This window comes from Homo sapiens, chromosome 22, assembly GCF_000001405.40.
Source record: "Homo sapiens chromosome 22, GRCh38.p14 Primary Assembly".
NCBI classification, from domain to species: domain Eukaryota; kingdom Metazoa; phylum Chordata; class Mammalia; order Primates; family Hominidae; genus Homo; species Homo sapiens.
In genome coordinates this window covers 26,545,938-26,565,956 of record NC_000022.11, presented here as the reverse complement: position 1 = coordinate 26,565,956, position 20,019 = coordinate 26,545,938, and the positions used below count along the sequence as shown (strand labels likewise).

Sequence of the window (20,019 nt, the reverse complement as noted above, 5' to 3'; positions counted from 1 at the left end):
GGGTGTGTGGATATACTTTGTTCAACTATCAATTTTATGAAATCTCTGTACAGATTAGCCATTTCTACTGAGAATTTAGCATCCAAATTGAGATGTGCTGAAAGTAGTTTTACCCTGGGTTTCAAGGACTAAGTAATTAAAAAAAAAAGACTATAAACTATCTCAGTAATGTTTATATTGATTGATGATAATATTTTATATATATTGAGTTAAATAAAATGTTATTAAATTTACTTCTGTAACATAGCTACTGGAAAACTGAGAATTTGAAGTGTGTCTCACACTGCATTTCTATTGGGTGGCGCTGTTACAAACTACAGGAAGGAGCTAGAATTCTGTGGAAGGTTTTAGGCAGGGGCTGACATCCTCTGGCCAAAATGACAAGAGGGAATTCCAGAGACCAGGGCAAGTCTGGCCACAGGGAGACTGCATGGCCTAGGAGACCTGAGCCACAGCCGCCAAGAGAAGCCCTGATTCCCCAGAGAGGAGGTGCCCGCTGCCAGTCCACAGGTGAGCAACAAGACTGGATCCAGAAGAGGGAGGAGCCTTTAGGAGAGGCAGGCCCATCGCAAGGCTGACTGATCCTTCAAAGGAGCCTCCCAGCTAAAAGCCAGCAGGAGAGAGACCTTGGCCACCAAGGGTCTGCCAGCTCCTGGTGGTCCCCACTCCAGCCACCTGCCAGCTCGAGCCTGACCCTCGCCTCCACCCTGGCTGCTGCCTGTACCGCTCTCAGGTTTGAAACCTCATCTCTTGCTGCTTGGCTCTGCTCTCTACTACTTACCAGCTGTGTCAACTAGAGCAAGTGGCTTTCCCTCTCTGGGGGCTACCAGCTTTGCATGGCCTGGCCCATGTTGCAGCTAGAGCTCAGGAAAGATCAGAGATGCCCACAGGTGACAGGTCTTCCTGGGCTGGGTGTTTTGGAGGTGGCATTATGAAGTCTCAGTGGGGGGTCTGCAGACAGTATTCTCTGTTTGCAGATGGCTTCCCCTCTCCACTCTGTGTGTTACGTCCTCATTTCACTGCTGAGAAAGTGGAGGCTCAGAGAGGTGAAGCAGTTTGCCCAGGGCCACACAGCTCCACAGAGGCAGAATTCAGATGAGTAATGCTGACTTTGCAGGTCCAAGGATACCCCTTCCATGGCTATAACTCAGTGTTCGATCAAGGGCAGAGCACTGCACCTCTCTGGGCCTCAATTTCCCCATTTGTCAAATGGGGAGAATAACAGTGCCAGTCAGCTGCTGTGAGGCTATAGTAAGTTGAATAAAAGTAACAGAGCACCGGCCCAAGGCAAGGCTTCAGGTGGTGGCTGCTGTTTGTTGACTGATCTGTGCATAAGTGTTCACTGCAGCCTTCTGCAGTGAGTGGTAGGAGCCCATTTTTAGGGGAGGAAACTGAGGCTAAGATGTGCAACTGGTGAGAGCAAAGTTGGGGACTCATCTGGCTTCTTGGCCCTGGAGCACTTTCCCTCCTCTGCTCGGCCCTCCGGCGTTACCTGTTATTCATGACGGGGCAAGGCTTGCGCTGTCCCCAGCCTGGTCCTCCGTCCTGCATGACTGGACATGAAGGGGCATAGCAGCAGCCTTGCCAGTGGCGCTCACAGATGTCCAGCCCACTAAGCCTGCTCCCTCCCTCAGGAACTCTGCTTCCTTTGCTGGGTGAGCTGTAACCTTTCCTCCTTCCTGCTCCAAGCAGCTACTGAGAGTGAGAGTGGTTGATCAGGAGGCTGGTACGAAGACACCTAGGCTGTGGCCAGATCCTAAATGTCAGAACTGGGAGAGGCCTTAGAGGTCATTGGCCCCTGGCGCTGGTTGTCTAGACACCTCGTTCAGCCTCAGTCTCCATAGTTGGAAAATGGGAGGAATCGTCAGCTTGGCAAAAACGGCAACCTCCGGCAACACAAAGTTGGTGCAGAAGGGGAACATGCAGACTGCTGGCAGGAGGGTCTTTGGGAGGGCACTTGCAGTATCTGCTGAAATATAAAGGGAGAGTGGCCCCTGAGCCCGCCGACCCCCTACAGGTAGCTACCTAGAGCTGTGCTTCTCAAATCGTATTGTGCATGGAAACGCCTGGGGTCTGGTTAAAAAGCCGGTTAAGTACCTTCTAAGGCATGGGACTAGCAGCCTCCCAGGTGGCCTTACTGCTTGCAAGACCCTAGTGAGGCCCTAGGGCACCTTTCATGCATGGGCACAAGGAGGCATGGTCCTTTGTGATGGTATGTCATTGCAAGAAGATGAAAGCAGCTTACATGTCTGTCAGAAGGCCTTGGCTAACTGAATGGTGTGTTGTTCCTGCTGGGATGCTCTGGAACAATTAAGAAGAGGGAGGGAGGGCCGGGCGTGGTGGCTCACGCCTGTAATCCCAGCATTTTAGGAGGCCGAGGCGGGTGGATCACAAGGTCAGGAGATTGAGACCATCCTGGCTAACACGGTGAAACCCCATCTCTACTAAAAATACAAAAAAATTAGCCGGGCGTGGAGGCGGGTGCCTGTAGTCCCAGCTACTTGGGAGGCTGAGGCAGGAGAATGGTGTGAACCCGGGAGACGGAGCTTGCAGTGAGCTGAGATCACGCCACTGCACTCCAGCCTGGGCTGGAGTGAGACTCTGTCTTAAAAAAAAAAAAAAAAAGAAGAAGAGGGAGGGAAGGAGGTCCATCAAGGTGTTGCATGTTGATGTGTCTTTTCTTCTGGAAGGATATCAGTGCCCTCTGGAGGCTGGGGCTTTGTCTTGTTTACTGATTTGGCCCCGGTGCTAGAACAAGGCCTGGCACCCAGTAGGTGCTCAAGCAATGTTTACTGGATGATAGAACAAACATGCTGACACGGAAAGACCTCGTGTTCAGTGAACCCAGTCAGTTTCAGGAGGCTATGTAGAATCCAGGACTTCTTAACCTTGGCACTAGTGACATTTGGGACTGGATGATTCTTTGTGCTGGGGATTACCTGGGCATTGTAAGATGTTTAGCAGCATCCGTGGGCTCTACCCATGAGATGATCCCTAATTGTAACACCAAAACTATCTCTGGACATTACCGATGGTTCCCTGAATGGCAAAATCGCCCCTGGTCCCAGCACTTTGGGAGGCCGAGGCGGGCAGATCACTTGAGGTCGAGAGTTTGAGACCAGCCTGACCAACGTGGTGAAACCTTGTCTGTACTAAAAGTACAAAATTAGCTGGACATGATGGCACATGTCTGTAATCCCAGCTACTTAGGAAACTGAGGCAGGAGAATCGCTTGAACCTGGGAGGCGGAGGTTGCAGTGAGCTGAGATCGCTCCATTGCACTCCAGCCTGGGTGACATAGTGAGAGTCAGTCTCAAAAAAAAAAAAGAAAAGAAAAGAAAAGAAAAAGCAAGTGTAGATGGCTCCCCTCCAAACTAATCAACAGCAGTTACATCTTAGAAAAGGGGGAAGAACATAGGATTGGATCTTTTACTCCAAAGAGACTTATGCCTTCTCCCTCCAGTTTGTAATATAGAGGTTGTACCAATGAGTTGAGCAATTAGGTGCATCTTAAAAGTAGAAATGGCACATGGACTGGCTTGTAGAGCTGTGAGGGTTTAGTGAAGTTACACACCTGGAACGTTCAGCACAGTGTCTGGCTCATGGTGGGGGTGCTGCCAAAGGACACCATTGTTGTTTTATTGTGTTGCATCTCTCCAGCAGCCCCTAAGCATACAGAAGCAGATAAGTCCTTCTCGCATATGGGCAGACTGGAGCTCAGAGAGGGAAAGGGACTCTCCCAAGGTCACACAGCAAAGGAGGAGCTAGGCTTGCCTTCATGACTCCAAAATAAGGACAGTTTCTCCTCTGCCACCCTGTGGCCCCCGCCGGGCCGCTGGGCCTCCTGGTCTTTGTATCTGTGGATTGAGGCTGTGTGGGCTGCTTCAAGTCCCCCAGCTTGTTGACTGCTTGGTGTTCACCAGCCCGGCTGGCACCCAGGAAGCAAACAAGGCTGGAAATGTCACGGGGTGTAGCCTGTGGGAGTTGTGCTCTGGCTTTGCCCAGCAGCACTGGGAGGACTGCCAGGGATTTGGAGCCTGCGAGGAAGGACCTTGGCAAAGATGTTCCCTGTAGGTGGGTACTGGACTGGCGGCCAGCCCTATGCAGCTTCAAAGTCATGCTGCTCACCCACTGCTCAAACATCTGCCATGGCTCCCTAGTACCTAAGCCTAAATTTTCCTTCCTGTGCCTGCTGGGATAGCATTCCATGTCCTACAAAGGACTCTCCGTGAGATGCTAGATTCCAGATACTAATAATAGTAATAATGATGATAAGACCTAGAGCACCTGCTGTTTGCTAGGTGTGGAACTAAGTGCTTCACATGCAATATCTTTTTTTTCTAATAAAAAAATTGTATTTACTTAGAAGCATTCAGAATGTCAACAAAACAGCTGCAACTTTTTCTTTTTGCAATTACAGAGTGGTATTCAGTTAACAGAATAATTATTTCGTATAAGCTGCATCAGAGACAACTGAAGATGAAAAAACTATCATCCCCATATATAACTAATTTGTGCTGTGCACCAACAAGAACCCGCTTTAAATTTCCATGCCAATTTACAGCCCCCATACTGTACCAGGCAAGGTTAGCGGCTATTGAAAATACCATCAGGACAGGGCTATCTAAAGACACATTCGGTAGTGTGTTAACTATACAAAAAAAGACACTGTACAGTTTAAAAACAAATCTTACACAGCCTTACATTTCAATTTTTTTCTTTAAAAGGAGTGAGTTGTGTACAGGGGGGTTAAATGCTTTATAGACAAGAAAAAAAAAACTGCGCTAGAACCAACTTATTCATCATCTTCTTCATCTTCATCTTCTTCATCTTCCTCCTCCTCATCCTCTTCATCTTCCTCATCTTCCTCCTCTTCCTTCTTTTTCTTGCTTTTTTCAGCCTTGACAACTCCCTTTTTTGCTGCATCAGGCTTTCCTTTAGCTCGATATGCAGCAATATCCTTTTCGTATTTTTCCTTCAGCTTCGCAGCCTTCTTTTCATAAGGCTGCTTGTCATCTGCGGCAGTGTTATTCCACATCTCTCCCAGTTTCTTCGCAACATCACCAATGGACAGGCCAGGATGTTCTCCTTTGATTTTTGGGCGATACGCAGAGCAGAACAGGAAGAAGGCCGAAGGAGTCCTCTTGGGTGCATTCGGATCCTTGAACTTCTTTTTTGTCTCCCCTTTGGGAGGGATATAGGTTTTCATTTCTCTTTCGTAATGGGCCTTGTCCGCCTTTGCCATATCTTCAAATTTTCCTTTCTCTTTAGCAGACATGGTCTTCCACCTCTCTGAGCACTTCTTAGAAAACTCTGAGAGGTTGACTGAAGCATCTGGGTGCTTCTTCTTATGCGCCTCCCGACAAGTTTGCCCAAAAAATGCATGTGATGACATTTTGCCTCTCAGCTTCTTAGGATCTCCTTTGCTCATGTTTAGTTATTTTTCCTCAGCGAGGCACAGTCGCCCAGTGCCCGTCCGGCTCTCACTTGCCCCGGCGCTGTCTCTGTGGAGCTCAGTGTACTGCAATGCACAATATCTTATTTAATCCTTACAAAAGTCATATGGCACTGCTGCAATATGATTCTCATTTTACAAATGAGGAACCTGATGACCACAGAGGTTAAGTGTCTTGCCCAAAGTCATGTAGCTCTGTAGCCAGCATCTGTAGCCTGACTCCGGAGCCACACTTTAACCAGGAGACCATCCTACCGTATCTTGTTAGGAGAGCAAGCCAGCATGATGCCAGCAGAGAAGGCCTCTGGGTACATGGGAAGAACCCAGCCAGGTGTTCAGGCCTGGCCGTGCCATTAACTTGCTGTGTGACCTTGGCCACACTCTCCTTTCTGAGCTCGCCCAGGCTTTCTCCGAGGCCACTGCTGGCTCTGCATTCCCGAGCTCAAGGACCCAAAGTTATGCATCAAATCTAGAAATCATCTTCTCTTATTTTATATCGTATTACAGCATTGATATGTATATGATACATATACATTGATATGATATGCTTCTATACCCGGTCTGTCACACCGTGTGGATTTCCTCAGAGGCTCCTAGAAGGCCCTGCTGTCCAGGCTAGGAGGTTTCTGGCAGCCCCAAGCTCCCTGGCTTCTGCGTGAAGGTGTGAATAGAACCATGCTGTTAAGTGGGGGTTTGCAGAAACCAGGGTTTGACCTGGGAGAGCCCTAGGCAGCAGGGGATGATCAAGTGATCAAGATAATATTTTAATGCAAAATTTGAAAAATCAAAACTAACGGATGAACCTTGAACAGAGTGTGCTAAGTGGAAAAAGCTGGTCATTAAAGAACATGCTTTGTGTGATTCCATTTTTATGAAATGTTCAGAATAGGCGAACTCATAGAGACGGAAAGTAGAGTAGTGGTCTCCTGGGGCTGGGAGGAGAAGGGGGTTACAGTTTGATACGTAAGGGTACGAGGTTTCTCTTTGGGTGATGAAAATGTAGCAAAATTGACTATGACTATACGAAAACTCTGTGAGTGTACTACTCTGCACATACTAGAAACCTGTGAATATATTAAACCCTGTGATTATACTAAAGACCATTGAACTGTACACTTTATTTTTTTATTTTTTTTGAGATGGAGTTTCGCTCTGTTGTCCAGGCTGGAGCGCAGTGGCGCAATTTTGGCTCACTGCAGCCTCTGCCTCCCAAGTTCAAGCGATTCTCCTGCCTCAGCCTCTTGAGCAGCTGGGATTACAGGCATCTGCCACTGCACCCTGCTAATTTGTGTATTTTTAGTAGAGACAGGGTTTCACCATGTTGGCCAGGCTGGTCACGAACTCCTGACCTCAGGTGATCGCCTGCCTCGGCCTCCCGTAGTGTTGGGATTACAGGCGTGGGCCACCGCGCCGGGCCCATGAACTGTACACTTTAAATAGGTGAGTTATATGATATGTGCATTGTCCCTCAGTAAAGCTGTTATGAAACAATCTAAATGCAAAAATATCCATGAAAAACAACATATAAAAATTGTAAATAATGTCAGGATCAGTATTACTGATTTTTTTCTTTCTGCCTTGGCTCCAGTGTGGCTTAGCACAGCGCAACATCACTTGTCCTATTTAAACACTTTATATTTTTTGTTTGTCATGGATTTTTTTCCACTGATCTAAAAAAGATTGCATTGAAACATTATTGATCTTGGTTACTGAGTTTTTTGGCACCCCCTTGAGTTTTTGTGCTCAAGGACAATGCCCTGCTTGCCTCACCCTGTTCCTGCCCTGCCAGGCAAGCCTTTTGCTCTCCCTAGGGTGGCCAGGGTCTCCCCCACCACTCTGTCCCTTCCTTCTCTCTGTCTCCCCATCTGACGGCTGAGACCAGCAAGCCCACCCCAAGAGAAGCTATGATTTGTCTGTCCAGCCAGTGAGTCATGTGTGAGGACCACAGTAGGGGGCTCTCTCCACATCACATCCTCCTCCTGCCCACAGTGTCTCCTTTGCTGCTTTCTCCCTTCTCTCCCATCTCCCTCCTTTTTAATTTTTTTGTTTTGTTTTGTTTAAGGCCAAGCACAGTGGCTCATGCCTGTAGTCGCAGCACTTTGGGAGGCCGAGGCAGGCAGATCACTTAAGGTCAGGAGTTGGAGACCAGCCTGGTCAGCATGATGAAACCCTGTCTTTACTAAAAATACAAAAAAATTAGCCAGTGTTGTGGCCCAGTGCCTGTAATCCCAGCTACTCAGGAGGCTGAGGCAGGAGAATCACTTGAACCTGGGAGATGGTGGTTGCAGTGAGCTGTGATTGCTCCATTGCACTCCAGCCTGGGCGACATATATATGTGTGTGTGTGTGTGTGTGTGTGTGTGTGTGTGTGTGTGTGTGTGTATTATATATATTTTTATATAATAATTTTTATACAATATATATATATAAATTTTATATAAAATATATATTTTTTTGAGACGGAGTCTCCCTCTGTCAACCAGGCCAGAGTACAGTGGTGTGATCACAGCTCACTGCAGTCTTGACCTCCTGGGCTCAAGTGATCCTCTGGCCTCAGCCTCCCAAGTAGTTGGGACTACAGGAGCATGCCACCACACCCGGCTAATTTTTAATTTTTTTGTAGAGATGGAGCTTTACTACATTGCCCAGGCTGGTCTTGAACTCCAGAGCTCAAGCAATCCTCCCTCCTCGGCCTCCTGAAGTGCTGAGATTACAGACATGGGCCACCACGTCTGACCCCATCTCTCTTCTTTGAGATGGCTCCCTGGGTCCCCCAGCAGCTATCACTTGGCCTCCAGCCCTTGTCTTTTCAGGCATCCTACACCAGAGAGAGCCTGTGTCCCCTCCCAGGTCACAACCAGACCAATGCTCACAATTTCCCACCGTCCCCAGGATAACTCCAAGCTCCTTACCTGGCATTCAAAGCCTGGCACAGTCTAGAGCTTGCCAATCTCCTTTCCCCACTTTTCCTGCTCACCACTGCTGATTTCTCATCGGTAGATTCAGATGGGACTCACAGTTATTGAAGAGCTGCAAGGCATTAGCCACACCCCTCTGGTCTTTCCCTTATTAAGCCCCTATCTCACTTAATCCTCACAGCAGCATCGCTAGTAAGAATTATTGGGCCCATTTTACAGATGAGGAAACTCAGGCCCAGAGAGTGGAGGTGATGCTGCCAAGGGTCTGGGGTAGATGCAGGTGCACGCCCAGTCTGGCTGGCAGCATGGGACTCTGACCACCTGCCTGTGCCTCCCCTCATCCACTGCGGATGTTTGCTTTCCCTCAGGGCCATGTGTACAGTGCCTCTGCCAGGGTCACCCCCACTTTGGTCCCTGTTGGCCTTCACACTGCTAACTTAGTAGCCAAGGTCACATGCCAGTGTGTGATGCCAGCGTGGAGAGGAGCCATGGTTCTTTTATAACAGTTGCCATCTCCTACCTACTTATATTTGGGGCTTGCTATGTTGATAGCCGCAGGCTGGGTCTCAAATTCCTGGGCTCAAGCTGTCTTCCTGCCTCAGCTTTGTGAGCAGCTGGGATCACAGGCATGAGCCGCTGCTCCTGGCCACTTTTACTTCTTAAAATAAAATCAGAACATGCAAACCATGCTCCACAATATGCCATCAAGTGTTTCTGGTGCAAATCCCTACTGCTCTTGTGTTTGATGGTGGGGCGAGGAAACGGGCAGGAATGGGAAGGAAGGTGAATCTAGACTCCTGAGGCAGGACCATGGCTCCCTGGCCCTAACAGCCATAGATTTTGTGTCCATAACGGAGCCAGATGCTGGCAGCGATTCTTAATTGGGGTTCCAGGCTGCATTCGGGGGCCTAGGAATTTGGATGAGGGGAAAATTACATCTTTATTGACCCTAGTTTAACATTTCCTCCAGGTGACAACATAGGTGATAAATCACAGTAGTAGTGGCAGCACTCGCATCACCAGTAGAAACCACACTTTTTTTTTGAGATGGAGTTTCGCTCTTGTCGCCCAGGCTAGGGTGCAATGACGCGATCTCGGCTCACTGCAACCTCTGCCTCCCAGATTCAAGTGATTCACCTGCTTCAGCCTCCCAAGTAGCTGGGATTACAGGTGGCTGCCACCACGCCTGGCTAATTTTTTTGTATTTTAGTAGAGACGGGGTTTCACCATGTTGGCCAGGCTGGTCTTGAACTCCTGACCTCAGGTGATCCGCCCACCTCGGCCTCCCAAGGTGCTGGGATTATAGACATGAGCCACTGCTCCTGGCCCATATTTTTATATCACATTTTAGGTGCCACAGATGTGTCTGCTTGCAGATGACAGTGATTATTCTGTCTGCTACTAGATCTTGTTATTGATTGCTTTAATAAAGGAGCAGATAGGTTACAGATAATATTTCACAGCAATTTTTGTAATCACATTCTTAGCCAAAGTTTACTATGTTGGTTTCCTTTTCATCCTGTATATTTTATTGTATTCCATTTAAAAGCATTATTCTGGGAAGGGGCCCATAGATTTCACCAGATGGTTGAAGAGATCCATGGCACAAAATGGTGGAAGAACCCATTAGACCTGGGTTTGAGTCCTCATGCTGCCCTGCACCTGCTGTGTGAGTGTGAGCAGAGTGTGAGCAGCCCATTCCGCCTCTGGATTTCTTATTCATGATCCAGCCAGAGAGGGGCTGTCTCCCCCACAGGGTTGCCGTGGGAGGCCTGCAGTGGGAGTCGATGCCACTTTGTTGTGGTGCCTGTCTGTTGGGTGTTATTAGGTCTTCTGGGCAGGACGTGACACTGGGTGCTCCAGCGTGCCCTGAACGTGTTCCCACCGCCTCCTGCACACCCCAGTCTGTCTGGGCATCCATCCCACTGGGTTGATTGTCTGCCGGCTCAATGGCCGTGACACTCATTATGGGCAGGACTGTGTCCGTCCTAATAAATAATGGTACAGAATTGTAGCTGATGCCTCTGAGCTCACACTCTTTGCCAGCTTCACAACAGCTCCACAAGGTAGGTGCCGTTTTCAGACTTATTTTGGAAATGTTAAACGTTATAACAGGTGAGTGAGGCTCAGAGACAAGAAGTCACTGGCTCAAGGCCACTGGTGAGTGGCCACACCAAGATCGCCTGGGTCTGTCCAACTTTAGGTCTACACTCCTGACCCCTGCACTCCACGATGATTGCATTCCTGAGCCTGGCCCAGGTGGGCAGCCAGTGAATAGTTAGCTGGTGCAAAAGTAATTGCGGTCTTTGGTATTACTTTCAGTGGCAAAAACTGCATTACTTTTGCACCAGCCTACTAGAACGCTGAGTTCAGTGCCTTAAGCGGTGTTTCACAGAGAGGGAGCAAGGGGCAGCGCTTGTTAAAATGCAAATTCCCTCAGCTCCACGTTAAAATGCAAATTCCCTCAGCTCCACCTTGCCTCTTCCAAATCAGAATATTTGAGGGCAGGCCCCAGGAAATCTGCCTTTTAAAGTTTTGGGCTATTCAGAAGCACACCAAAGTTTAACCACTACCCTAAAGGGAAGGAATAACAGTCAGGTAGTAACAAAGCTCTGTTCTGAGTGCTTTATGTGAGTTTATTTATTGTGAGACAGAGTCTTGCTGTGTCACCCAGGCTGGAGTGCAGTGGCGCCATCTTGGCTCACTGCAACCTCCTCCTCCTGGGTTCAAGCAATTCTTGTGCTTCAGCCTCCCAAGTAGCTGGGATTACAGGCATTCACCACCACGCCTGGCTAATTTCTGTATTTTTGGCAGAGACGGGGTTTCACCATGTTGGCCATGCTGGTCTTGAACTCCTGACCCCAGGTGATCCGCCCACCTTGGCCTCCCAAAGTGCTGGGATTACAGGCATGAGCCACTGCAAGTTTATTTATTTAGTCTTCACAAGTGTTAATGGCCTCCCCATTTCACAGATGAGGAAAGTGAGGCACAAAGTAGTTAGATAACACCTCCCCACTGACCCCCAACCCAGGGCTGCATTGCTAGGAATCAGCCAGGTGTGGAGGATTCCTGCCCCTATGCTCAGTCCCCTACCTCTGACAGCTTCTGGACAGAGGAGTAGAGACGGGATCCCATGGTGGGTGGGGGTGAGGGCTCAGGAAGCACTGGTCCCTACAAGATCACGCTGGCCCTTTCCTGTTTGCCTTGTTTACCAGGCAGGGGCCCTCTGTGTTTCTGGGCAGGAAGTCCTGAGCAGGGGCTGTGCCAGGTGTCAGGGGCAAGACTGGGAGATGGTCCAGGAGTCTGAGCCGGGCACTACTCTGAGCAGCTGTCTGACCTGGGGCACATAGCTTCCCCATCTGTGTATGGGGTGGGGTCGAGATTTGGAAGAGGTAGTTAAGAGCTTGGGTTCCGGCATCAGATAGACCTGAGTTCCAGATCAAACTCAGCCACTTATCATCTGTGTGATCTCCAACAAAGCACTTCACCTCTCTAAGCCTCAGTTTCCCCTTCTGTAAAACGTGGCTAATAATAATAGTGCCTACCCTCCAAGCCTGTCATGAGGGTCAAAATATATTGTTGGCTGTCCGTCTTCTTGGGTTCTGCATGCGGGGATTCAGCCGACAGTGGATCAAAAATATTCGGGAAAAAATGGGTGGTTGCATCTGTACTGAACATGAACAGAGCTTTTTTGTCCTGTGATTGTTCTCTAAACAATACAGTGTAACAACTACCTACATAGCATTTAGATTGTATTAGGTAGTATAATTGATCTAGCACTGATTTAAAGTATATGGGAGGATACGTGTAGGTTTTATGCAAATATTACATCATTTTATATAAGGGACTTGATGTATACTGGTATTCGAGGGATATTCTGTAATCAGTCCCTTATGATACCGAGGGGCGACTGTATATAAAACTGCCAGCCAGGTGCAGTAGCTCATGCCTATAATCCTAGCACTTTGGGAGGCTGAGGTGGGAGGATTAAACTCAGACTGGCCTGGGCAACATAGTGAGACCCCGTCTCCACAAAAATAAAAAATTAACTGGGCATGGTGGCACTTGCCTGTAGTCCCAGCTACTTGGCAGGCTGGGGCAGACAGATCATTTGAGACCAGGAGTTTCAAGGCTGCAGTGAACAGTGATCACTCCACTGCACTCCAGCCTTTGAGACAGAAGGAGACCCTGTCTCTTTAAAAAAAAAAAAAAAAACTGCCAGGCATGCACAAGCCTCTCTGCTAGTCCTTACGTGGCAACAGACAGGATGCTGGATGATTCCCTATGCATGAGTGTGCACTTCTTTTTCTTTTCAATCAACTATTTGTTTTCCCGAATTGTACATTTTTCTCTTACCAAAGGCTGGCCACCTGGGTCCTCCCACAGTCCCTACTGAGAAAAGTCCCAGAACCAAAACTGGCTTCCACCTCGGCTCACTGTATTTGTGCTTTGTGAGTTTGCCCAGGTTGCACTGAGGGCAGGTGCTGCTGATAGTGTCTTTTTTTTTTTTTTTTTTTTTTTTTTGAGATGGAGTTTCGCTGTTGTCACCCAGGCTGGAGTACAATGGCACAATCTCAGCTCACTGCAACCTCCGCCTCCCGGGTTCAAGCAGTTCTCCTGCCTCAGGCTCTCGAGTAGCTGGGACTACAGGCGCCCGCCACCATGCGCGGCTAATTTTTGTATTTTTAGTAGAGATGGGGTATCACCATGTTGGCCAGGCTGGTCTCGAACTCCTGACCTCAGGTGATCCTCCTGCCTTGGCCTCCCAAAGTGCTGGGATTATAGGCGTGAACCACTGCTCCTGGCTGATAGTGTCTTTTCGTGATATAGACCAGGGGGTTGGCAAACTATGCCCACGGGACAAATCTAGCTGACCGCCTGTTTTCGTAACTAGTCTTATGGAAACGCAGCCACTTGCCTTCATGTATGTGTCATCTTGGTTGTTTGCATTACAGTTGCAAACTCGCAGTGGAGCTCTTGTGGCCCACAGAGCCAAAAACATGGGTTTTATGACTTCACAGAAGCTTGCCTACCCCCAAGAGAGATGATAAAGCAGGGTCGTCGAAAGTTGGGGAAACAGTTTGGGTTCTGGCATCAGATAGCCTGAGTTTCAGTTCAGGCTCAACCAATTACCATCTGTGTGACCTCCAACAAAGCATTTCACCGCTCTAAGCCTCAGTTTCCCCTTCGGTAAAACGTGGCTAATAATAGCGCCCACCCTCCAGGGTTGTCATTAGAGTAAAAATGCACAGTTGGCCCTGTACATTTTGACTCTAAATGACAACGAACAGGGAGAAGAAGTCACCCCTGATCCCACCTGACCGGACCACGCGTTCCTTAGTTTGTGTGTATGTCCCTGCCAGTCTTTATCCATGTGCTGTAATGACTGATCCTAACATCAAAAGGCGGCCAGGCGTAGTGGCCCATGCCTGCAATCCCAGCACTTTGAGAGGCCTAGGCAGGAGGATTACTTGAGCCCAGGAGTTTGAGACCAGCCTGGACAATGTATTAAGACCCCATTTCTACAAAAAATAAAATATTAGCCGGGCATGGTGGTGCACTAGCTACTTGGGAGGCTGAGATGGGAGAATGTGCTTGAGCCCAGGTGTTTGAGGCTGCAGTGAGCCATGATTGCACCGCTGTATTCTAGCCTGAGCAACAGAGCAAGAAACTGTCTCAAAAAAAAAAAAAAAAAAAAAAAGAAAAAGAAAAGAAAAGGAAAAGAATTAAATGGTAATAGTTTTCTTATGCTGGCTCTGCCTGGCTTGATGGAAGTTACATAGTTCCCATGACACTCTTCCAGGTGTTATTCCCATTTCTCAGATGAGAACACTGAGGCTCAGAGAGCTGCCCAAGATTGACCCAGGACACCCAGCCTTTGAGTGGGGGAGCCAGGATGTGACCCCCAGCCTCATCAGTCCCCACCCCTGGCTAGTCCCTAACAGAGTGCTGAACTGGGCCTCTGAACGGGAGACTGGGACAGTGTGTGGGACCCTGCTTTGATGGTTTTAGGTAAAAAAAAATGCAAAGCAAGACAGGGAGGAGAACACAGGCTCTGGAAAGAGAGAGACTTGAGTTTTCCTTCTAGCTCCCCTGCCTCCCAGCTGCATGGCCTTCGGCAGGTTCCTTTACGTCTCTGAGCCCCAGGAAATGGATGGTTAATAAGGGAGGGTCAAATAGGGTCAATGGTTAAGACAAAATGCAATGATATATGTAAAACCCTTAGTTCAGTGCCTGGTATATAATAAGGGCTCTAAGTCTGAACTAATGTTTTTTTGTTTGTTTGTTTGTTTGTTTTTTAGGCAGAATCTCTCCCTGTCACCCAGATTGGAGTGCAGTGGTGTGATCTTGGCTCACTGCAACCTCTGCCTCCCAGGCTCAAGCCATCCTCCCACTTCAGCCTCCCAAGTAGCTGGGACTATGGGTGTATTATCATCAAGCCCAGCTAATTTTTGTAAAGAGAGGGTTTTGTCTTATTTTCCAGGCTGGTCGCAAACTCCTTTGCTGTAGCAATCCATCCCCCTCAGCCTCCCAAAGTGCCGGGATTATAGGCATGAGCCACCATGCCTGGCGTGAGCCACTGTGCCTGGCCTGAGCTAATATTTTTAAGGCTGCATGCCAGCCTCCCTGCCCTTTTTCCCTCTTGAACCACTCTTCATGCTTTTTATGCTCAAGCAGTGTCCAGAGCTTCAGAATTATTTTTCCCTTACTCACACCCCATTGGAATCTGGAGGGCTTTCTTGGCTGGCTTCCCCCCGCAATAGGTCAGAGGTCCCTGATTCCCAGGGACCCTGCCCAAGAGACCTGCGTCTCCCCAGCTCTGCAGAAGGTTGAGGCGTGGTGGGTGGGAGTTGGTGTGGTCAGCGTGGTCTGGTAGGGTTGGGAATAGCCATGGCAATGGAATGTTGGGAGCTGGTTCCCATGGGGAGGAATTGCAGGGCTGATGGCTGAGCCTGAGCACGTGGGCACTGGGCCCTGCTCCAGGGCCACTCTGTAAGTGCAGTGACCTCCTGAGCTGGCTTTGTGCACTGCCAGCTCCCCGCTGTTGTCCCCTCCCTGCCCCCCTGCCGCTTTTCTCTTGGGAACCTCCTGATCTGCTGAGCTTGGAGAAATGATGATTTAGAAAGTTCCTATAGATTTGAGCCAAAATTCAGTGTGGTCTCAATGCAAATGTCACTCCCTTCTTTCCTTCTTTAACCCCTGGGGAATGCCTCCACCTCTCATCATGGGCATTTGCTTCTGAGCCTTTATCACTGGTGTCATTGTCTCACATACTGGTTTCTTGGCTCCCCACTGGAATGTCAGCTCTATGAAGGCAGGAACCTTTGTCTGTTGCCCTTGATGTATCCCAGTATCTTGAGCAGGGCCCCGCACATGGTACTTGCTCAGTAAACATTGGTGGAATGAATGAATCTGAGTCTAAGGGGATCTCTTAGATTGATTAGCCCCTCCCTTCCAGGGACATTTCAGGGTCAATGGAAAGAGGGAGCAAAGTTTCCTCCCATGGTCTCCTGCTGCCCATTTGTTTTTTTTGTTTTTTTTTTTGAGATGGAGTCTTGCTCCATCACCCAGGCTGAAGTGCAGTGGCATGATCTCGGCTCACTGCAACCTCTGCCTCTCAGGTTCAAGCAATTCTCCTGCCTTAGCCTCCTGAGTAGCTGGGAGCTCCCAAGCGCGATCCCCCACACCCGGCTAATTTTTTTTTTTTTTTTTTTTTAGTAGAGAGGGGGGTTTCACCGTGTTAGCCAGGATGGTCTCGATCTCCTGACTTCGTGATCCACCTGCCTCGGCCTCCCAAAGTGCTGGGATTATAGGTGTGAGTCACCACACCTGCTGAAATGAAACCCCGCTGTTTCCAACAACCGATTCTGGCTTAATCTGATTATTTTTTTTTTCTTTTTTCTTTTTCTTTTTTTTTTTTTTTTTTTGAGACGGAGTCTTGCTCTGTCGCCCAGGCTGGAGTGCAGTGGCATGATCTCGGCTCACTGCAACCTCTGCCTCCCAGGTTCAAGCGATTCCTCTGCCTCAGCCTCCTGAGTAGCTGGGATTACAGCCACGCGCCACCATGCCTGGCTAATTTTTTGTATTTTAGTACGGAGGAGATTTCACTGTGTTGGCCAGGATGGTCTCGATCTCCTAACCTCGTGATCTGTCCACCTTGGCCTCACAAAGTGCCGGGATTACAGGCGTGAGCCCCTGTGCCTGGCTGCTGCCCCTGTTTTATGAGCCGCATGACACCACGCTAGGGTTGGCACCTTGGAGGCAGAACCGCATTTGGAAACTGGCCTTTCCTCTTACTTGTTGTTTGGCTTCTGCTAATCACTCCATCTCTTGGAGCTTCAATTTCTTCACTTCTCAGATGGGGATAAAAATCTCCACCATACAAGGATTTGCTGAAAACAAGAGCCAGCAGGCAGGTAGCACTTGCTCTGGGCCAGGTGCTGTTCCGACATGCCCTAATTTATTTATACCTCCCAGCACTCCTGCAAGACTAGTTTCTCATTTGCGCTAGGCACATTTCAAAGTGCCCTTCTAGGAGGTGTTACAGGCTGCGTATCCCTTTATCTGAAATTCTTGGGACTAGAAAGGTTTTGGATTTCAGATTTTTTTTTCTTTTGAGGCAGGGGCTCCCTCTGACACCGAGGCTGGAGTGCAGTGGCATGATCATGGCTCACTTTAGCCTTGACCTCTGGGGTTCAAGTGATCCTCCTGCCTCAGCATCCCAATTAGCTGGGACTACAGGCAAGCACCACCACACCTGGCTAATTAAAAAAAAATTTTTTTTTGTAGTGATGGGGTCTCACTTTGTTGCCCAGGCTGGTCTCAAACTCCTGGGCTCAAGCGAGCCTCCTGCCTCAGCCCTCAAAGTGCTGGGATTACAGGCATGAGCTACCACACCTAGCTTGAATTTTTTCCGAGTTTGGAATATTTGCATCATACTAATCAGTTCAGCATCCATACTCCAAAATGTCTGATGAGCTTGCTTGCTTGCTTCCTTCCTTCCTTTTTCTTTCTCTTTCTTCTCTCTTTCTCTTTTTTCTTTCTCCTTCCTTGCTTTTCTTCTTTTTCTTCCTTTTTTCCTTCCTTCCTTTCTTCTTTCTTTCTTTTTCCTTTTCTTTCTCCTTTCCTTACCTTTCCCCTTTCCTTTCCCATGCCCTACCTGGTTTCATACTCACATCAGCCCAATCAGGCGGGTGGTGCCATGTCCTCCCCCTTCCCCTCCCCCGCCTCCTTTCCCCCTCCCTCTCCCCTCCCCTTCCCTTTCCTTTCAAGATGGGGTCTCGCTGTATTAACAGCCCAGGCTGGTCTTGAACTCCCAAGCTTAAGTGATTCTCCCACCTCGGCTTCCCAAAGTGCTGGGATTACAGGTGTAAACCACCATGCCCCACATCCGATGAGCGTTTTCTGTGAGCATCATGTTGGCACTCAACAAGTTTTGGATTTTGGAGCATTTCAGATTTTGAAATTTTGGATTAGGGCTACTTGACCTGTATTATCATCCCCATTTTACAGACGAGAAAACCAAGTCTCAGAGAGGCTAAGTGACTTGCCAAGGTCCTTCAGCCAGTAGCTGGTGCAGCAGAATGTTGAACCCAAGCAGTCTGGGCCCATAACATGTATGGCATACAATTCAAAAATTACTAGTCACTTTATTATTTTATCATATGGAAAGACAATAAGATGACACCATCAAGTTATGTTTTTAGGAGAAAAATATCACCTACCACCCGAGTACCACCCCTGGTAGCAATGTTTTTTGTTTCTTTGTTTTGAGGCAGTCTCATTCTGTCATCCAAGCTGGAGTACAGTGGCTCGATCATAGTTCACTGCAGCCTTGATCTCCTGGGCTCAAGCAATCCCCCAACCTCGGCCTCCCGAGTAGCTGGGACTACAGGCGTGCACCACCCCCTGCTTGGTTAACTGGTAGCAGTTGAGTCATATTTCCTTCTTGTCTTTTTTCTTAAGTGTGGTTTCTATTTGTTGGCGATTTTGCTGTGTGGTAGAGTCGTGCTCACCCTGCACCCACGTGGGCCTTTCTTAGCTTAAAATGGAGAACATGCCACCACCTGCCTGACTGGGCTGATGTGAGTATGAAACCAGGTAGGGCATGGAAAGCCCTTGCTTTGGTGTTAAATACACAGGGGTGCTGTGTATTTAATATATTCCTCCTACAAGAAAAGGAGGGGCTGGGTGAAGTGGCCCACACCTGAAATCCCAGCACTTTGGGAGGCACAGGCAAGAGTATTGCTTGAGTCCAGGAGTTTGAGACCAGCCTGGGCAACATAGCGGGACTCCATCTCTACACAAAAATACAAATATTAGCCAGGCATGGTGGCATGCACCTGTAGTCCTGGATACCTGGGAGGCTGAGATGGGAGGATCTGGGAGGATCGCTTGAGCTCGAGGAAGTCAAGGCTGCAGTGAACGAAGATCATGCCACTGCACTCCAGCCTGGGCTGGACAGAGTGAGACCCCATCTCAACAAAAAAAGAAAAAAAGGAGAGCTCTTTGACTCCTACCTCTCCCTCTCATTTGCCCTCTAATCAGCACTGCCCAGCAGAACACTCTGCAGTGATGGGAATGTTCTAGTGCAGAGGTCAGCAAATTTCTATAAATGTCCAGATAGTAAATGTTTCCAATTTTGTGGTGTTCATGTGGTTTCTATTGCCATTGCTCCTCCTCCTCTCTCTCCTCTTCCTCTTCCCTTCACCCTCTTCCCTTGATAAAATTTACAAATCATTCTTAGTTCAAGAGTGATTTGAAAACAGGCCCTGGGTTGGATTGGGCCATCATTGGCCTACCCCATCCTAAATGTGCACTGTCCAGTACAGTAGCCACTGGTCACATGTGGCTTCTGGGCACTTGCAGTGTGGCTAGTGCAAATGAGAAGCTGGATTCTTAATTGTATTTAATGTTGCATAAGGTGAGTTCAAATAGTTACATGTGGCTGGTAGCTGCATGTTGGATGCACAGCTCCAAATGACTGACAGCCCTGACAGCCCTGTTCCATTGCTCTGAAAGGGCCTGTGTTCCCTGGAGGGGGATGGCTGGGCTCGTGGGCCATGGGAGCTGCCTGGCTGGCAGGCCTCTTGGGCTCGCTGGCATTTCAAGAGCTGTCTGAGGGCAGCTGGGCGAGCCATCCTGCCTCTGGAAGAGCTTCAAGTGCCTGGTTCCTAATTGGTTTTGTTTATTCCAAGAGAGCAGGCCTCACATCATTGACCGCCCATGTCCCAGGAGTGCCGGGGCTTGAGTATCTATAGTTTGGGGGTGGCCTGCTGTGGGGGGGTCTAGTTGCTGTGGTTACACCTTGGTTCCCTTTTCCATCTGGGTTTAGATGTCCTAATTGGCCTGATATTTCAGGAATAGGAAAATGGTATGGAGAAAAGGAGTGAGTGAATAGGAAGGAATGGAGGACCAAGAAATGCAGTCAACACCCTGCAGCCGGTTTATTGCCATCATGGCACAAATAATAAAAGCTGAGTTTTTTTTTTCTTTTTTTTTTTTTTTGAGACGTGGTCTTGCTCTGTTGCCCAGACTGTAGTGCAGTGATGCAATCACAGCTCGCTGCAGCCTCGACCTCCTGGGCTTCAGCAATCCTCCCATCTAAGCCTCCCAAGTAGCCGGGACTATAGGCAGGTACCATCAC

General features: G+C 48.7%; 1 protein-coding gene, 1 non-coding gene and 1 pseudogene across 8 annotated transcripts in view, besides 3 other annotated features; 2 read left to right on the top strand and 1 right to left on the bottom strand.

Annotated features, from left to right (window-relative positions):
* Positions 1-20,019, top strand: part of TPST2 (tyrosylprotein sulfotransferase 2) — a 68,137-nt gene that overhangs the window by 24,176 nt on the left and 23,942 nt on the right. Inside the window, exons 1-2 of one of the 7 annotated variants that reach the window (XM_047441549.1) lie at positions 616-733; positions 18,339-18,457. The exons of 3 other annotated variants lie outside the window; for them this stretch is intronic. In XM_047441549.1, the coding sequence (XP_047297505.1) occupies positions 18,456-18,457 (2 nt within the window). In that variant the 5' untranslated portion in view covers positions 616-733; positions 18,339-18,455. Of the gene's footprint in view, positions 1-615; positions 734-15,308; positions 15,366-18,338; positions 18,458-20,019 lie in introns of those variants that run through there. 3 more of the 7 variants (NM_001362923.2, NM_001008566.3, XM_024452294.2) reach the window with 3 other exon arrangements.
* Positions 1,863-2,386: an enhancer, noted in NCBI's record as "NANOG-H3K27ac-H3K4me1 hESC enhancer chr22:26959537-26960060 (GRCh37/hg19 assembly coordinates)". NCBI's record gives its function as "activates a minimal SCP1, AML or CMV promoter by ChIP-STARR-seq in primed H9 embryonic stem cells {active_cell/tissue: H9 hESC(primed)}" and the evidence as "EXISTENCE:reporter gene assay evidence [ECO:0000049][PMID:30033119]".
* On the bottom strand, positions 4,341-5,529 carry HMGB1P10 (high mobility group box 1 pseudogene 10; annotated as a pseudogene).
* Positions 9,201-10,170: an enhancer, noted in NCBI's record as "H3K27ac-H3K4me1 hESC enhancer chr22:26951753-26952722 (GRCh37/hg19 assembly coordinates)". NCBI's record gives its function as "activates a minimal SCP1, AML or CMV promoter by ChIP-STARR-seq in naive H9 embryonic stem cells {active_cell/tissue: H9 hESC(naive)}" and the evidence as "EXISTENCE:reporter gene assay evidence [ECO:0000049][PMID:30033119]".
* MIR548J (microRNA 548j) lies at positions 10,634-10,745 on the top strand. Its single transcript, NR_031615.1, has one exon. It is a non-coding gene; the product is annotated as a microRNA 548j (primary transcript).
* Positions 15,360-15,654: a silencer, noted in NCBI's record as "tiled region #3066; HepG2 Repressive DNase matched - State 8:EnhW, and K562 Repressive non-DNase unmatched - State 14:Gen5'". NCBI's record gives its function as "represses a minimal TATA promoter and a strong SV40 promoter by Sharpr-MPRA in HepG2 and K562 cells {active_cell/tissue: HepG2 | K562}" and the evidence as "EXISTENCE:reporter gene assay evidence [ECO:0000049][PMID:27701403]".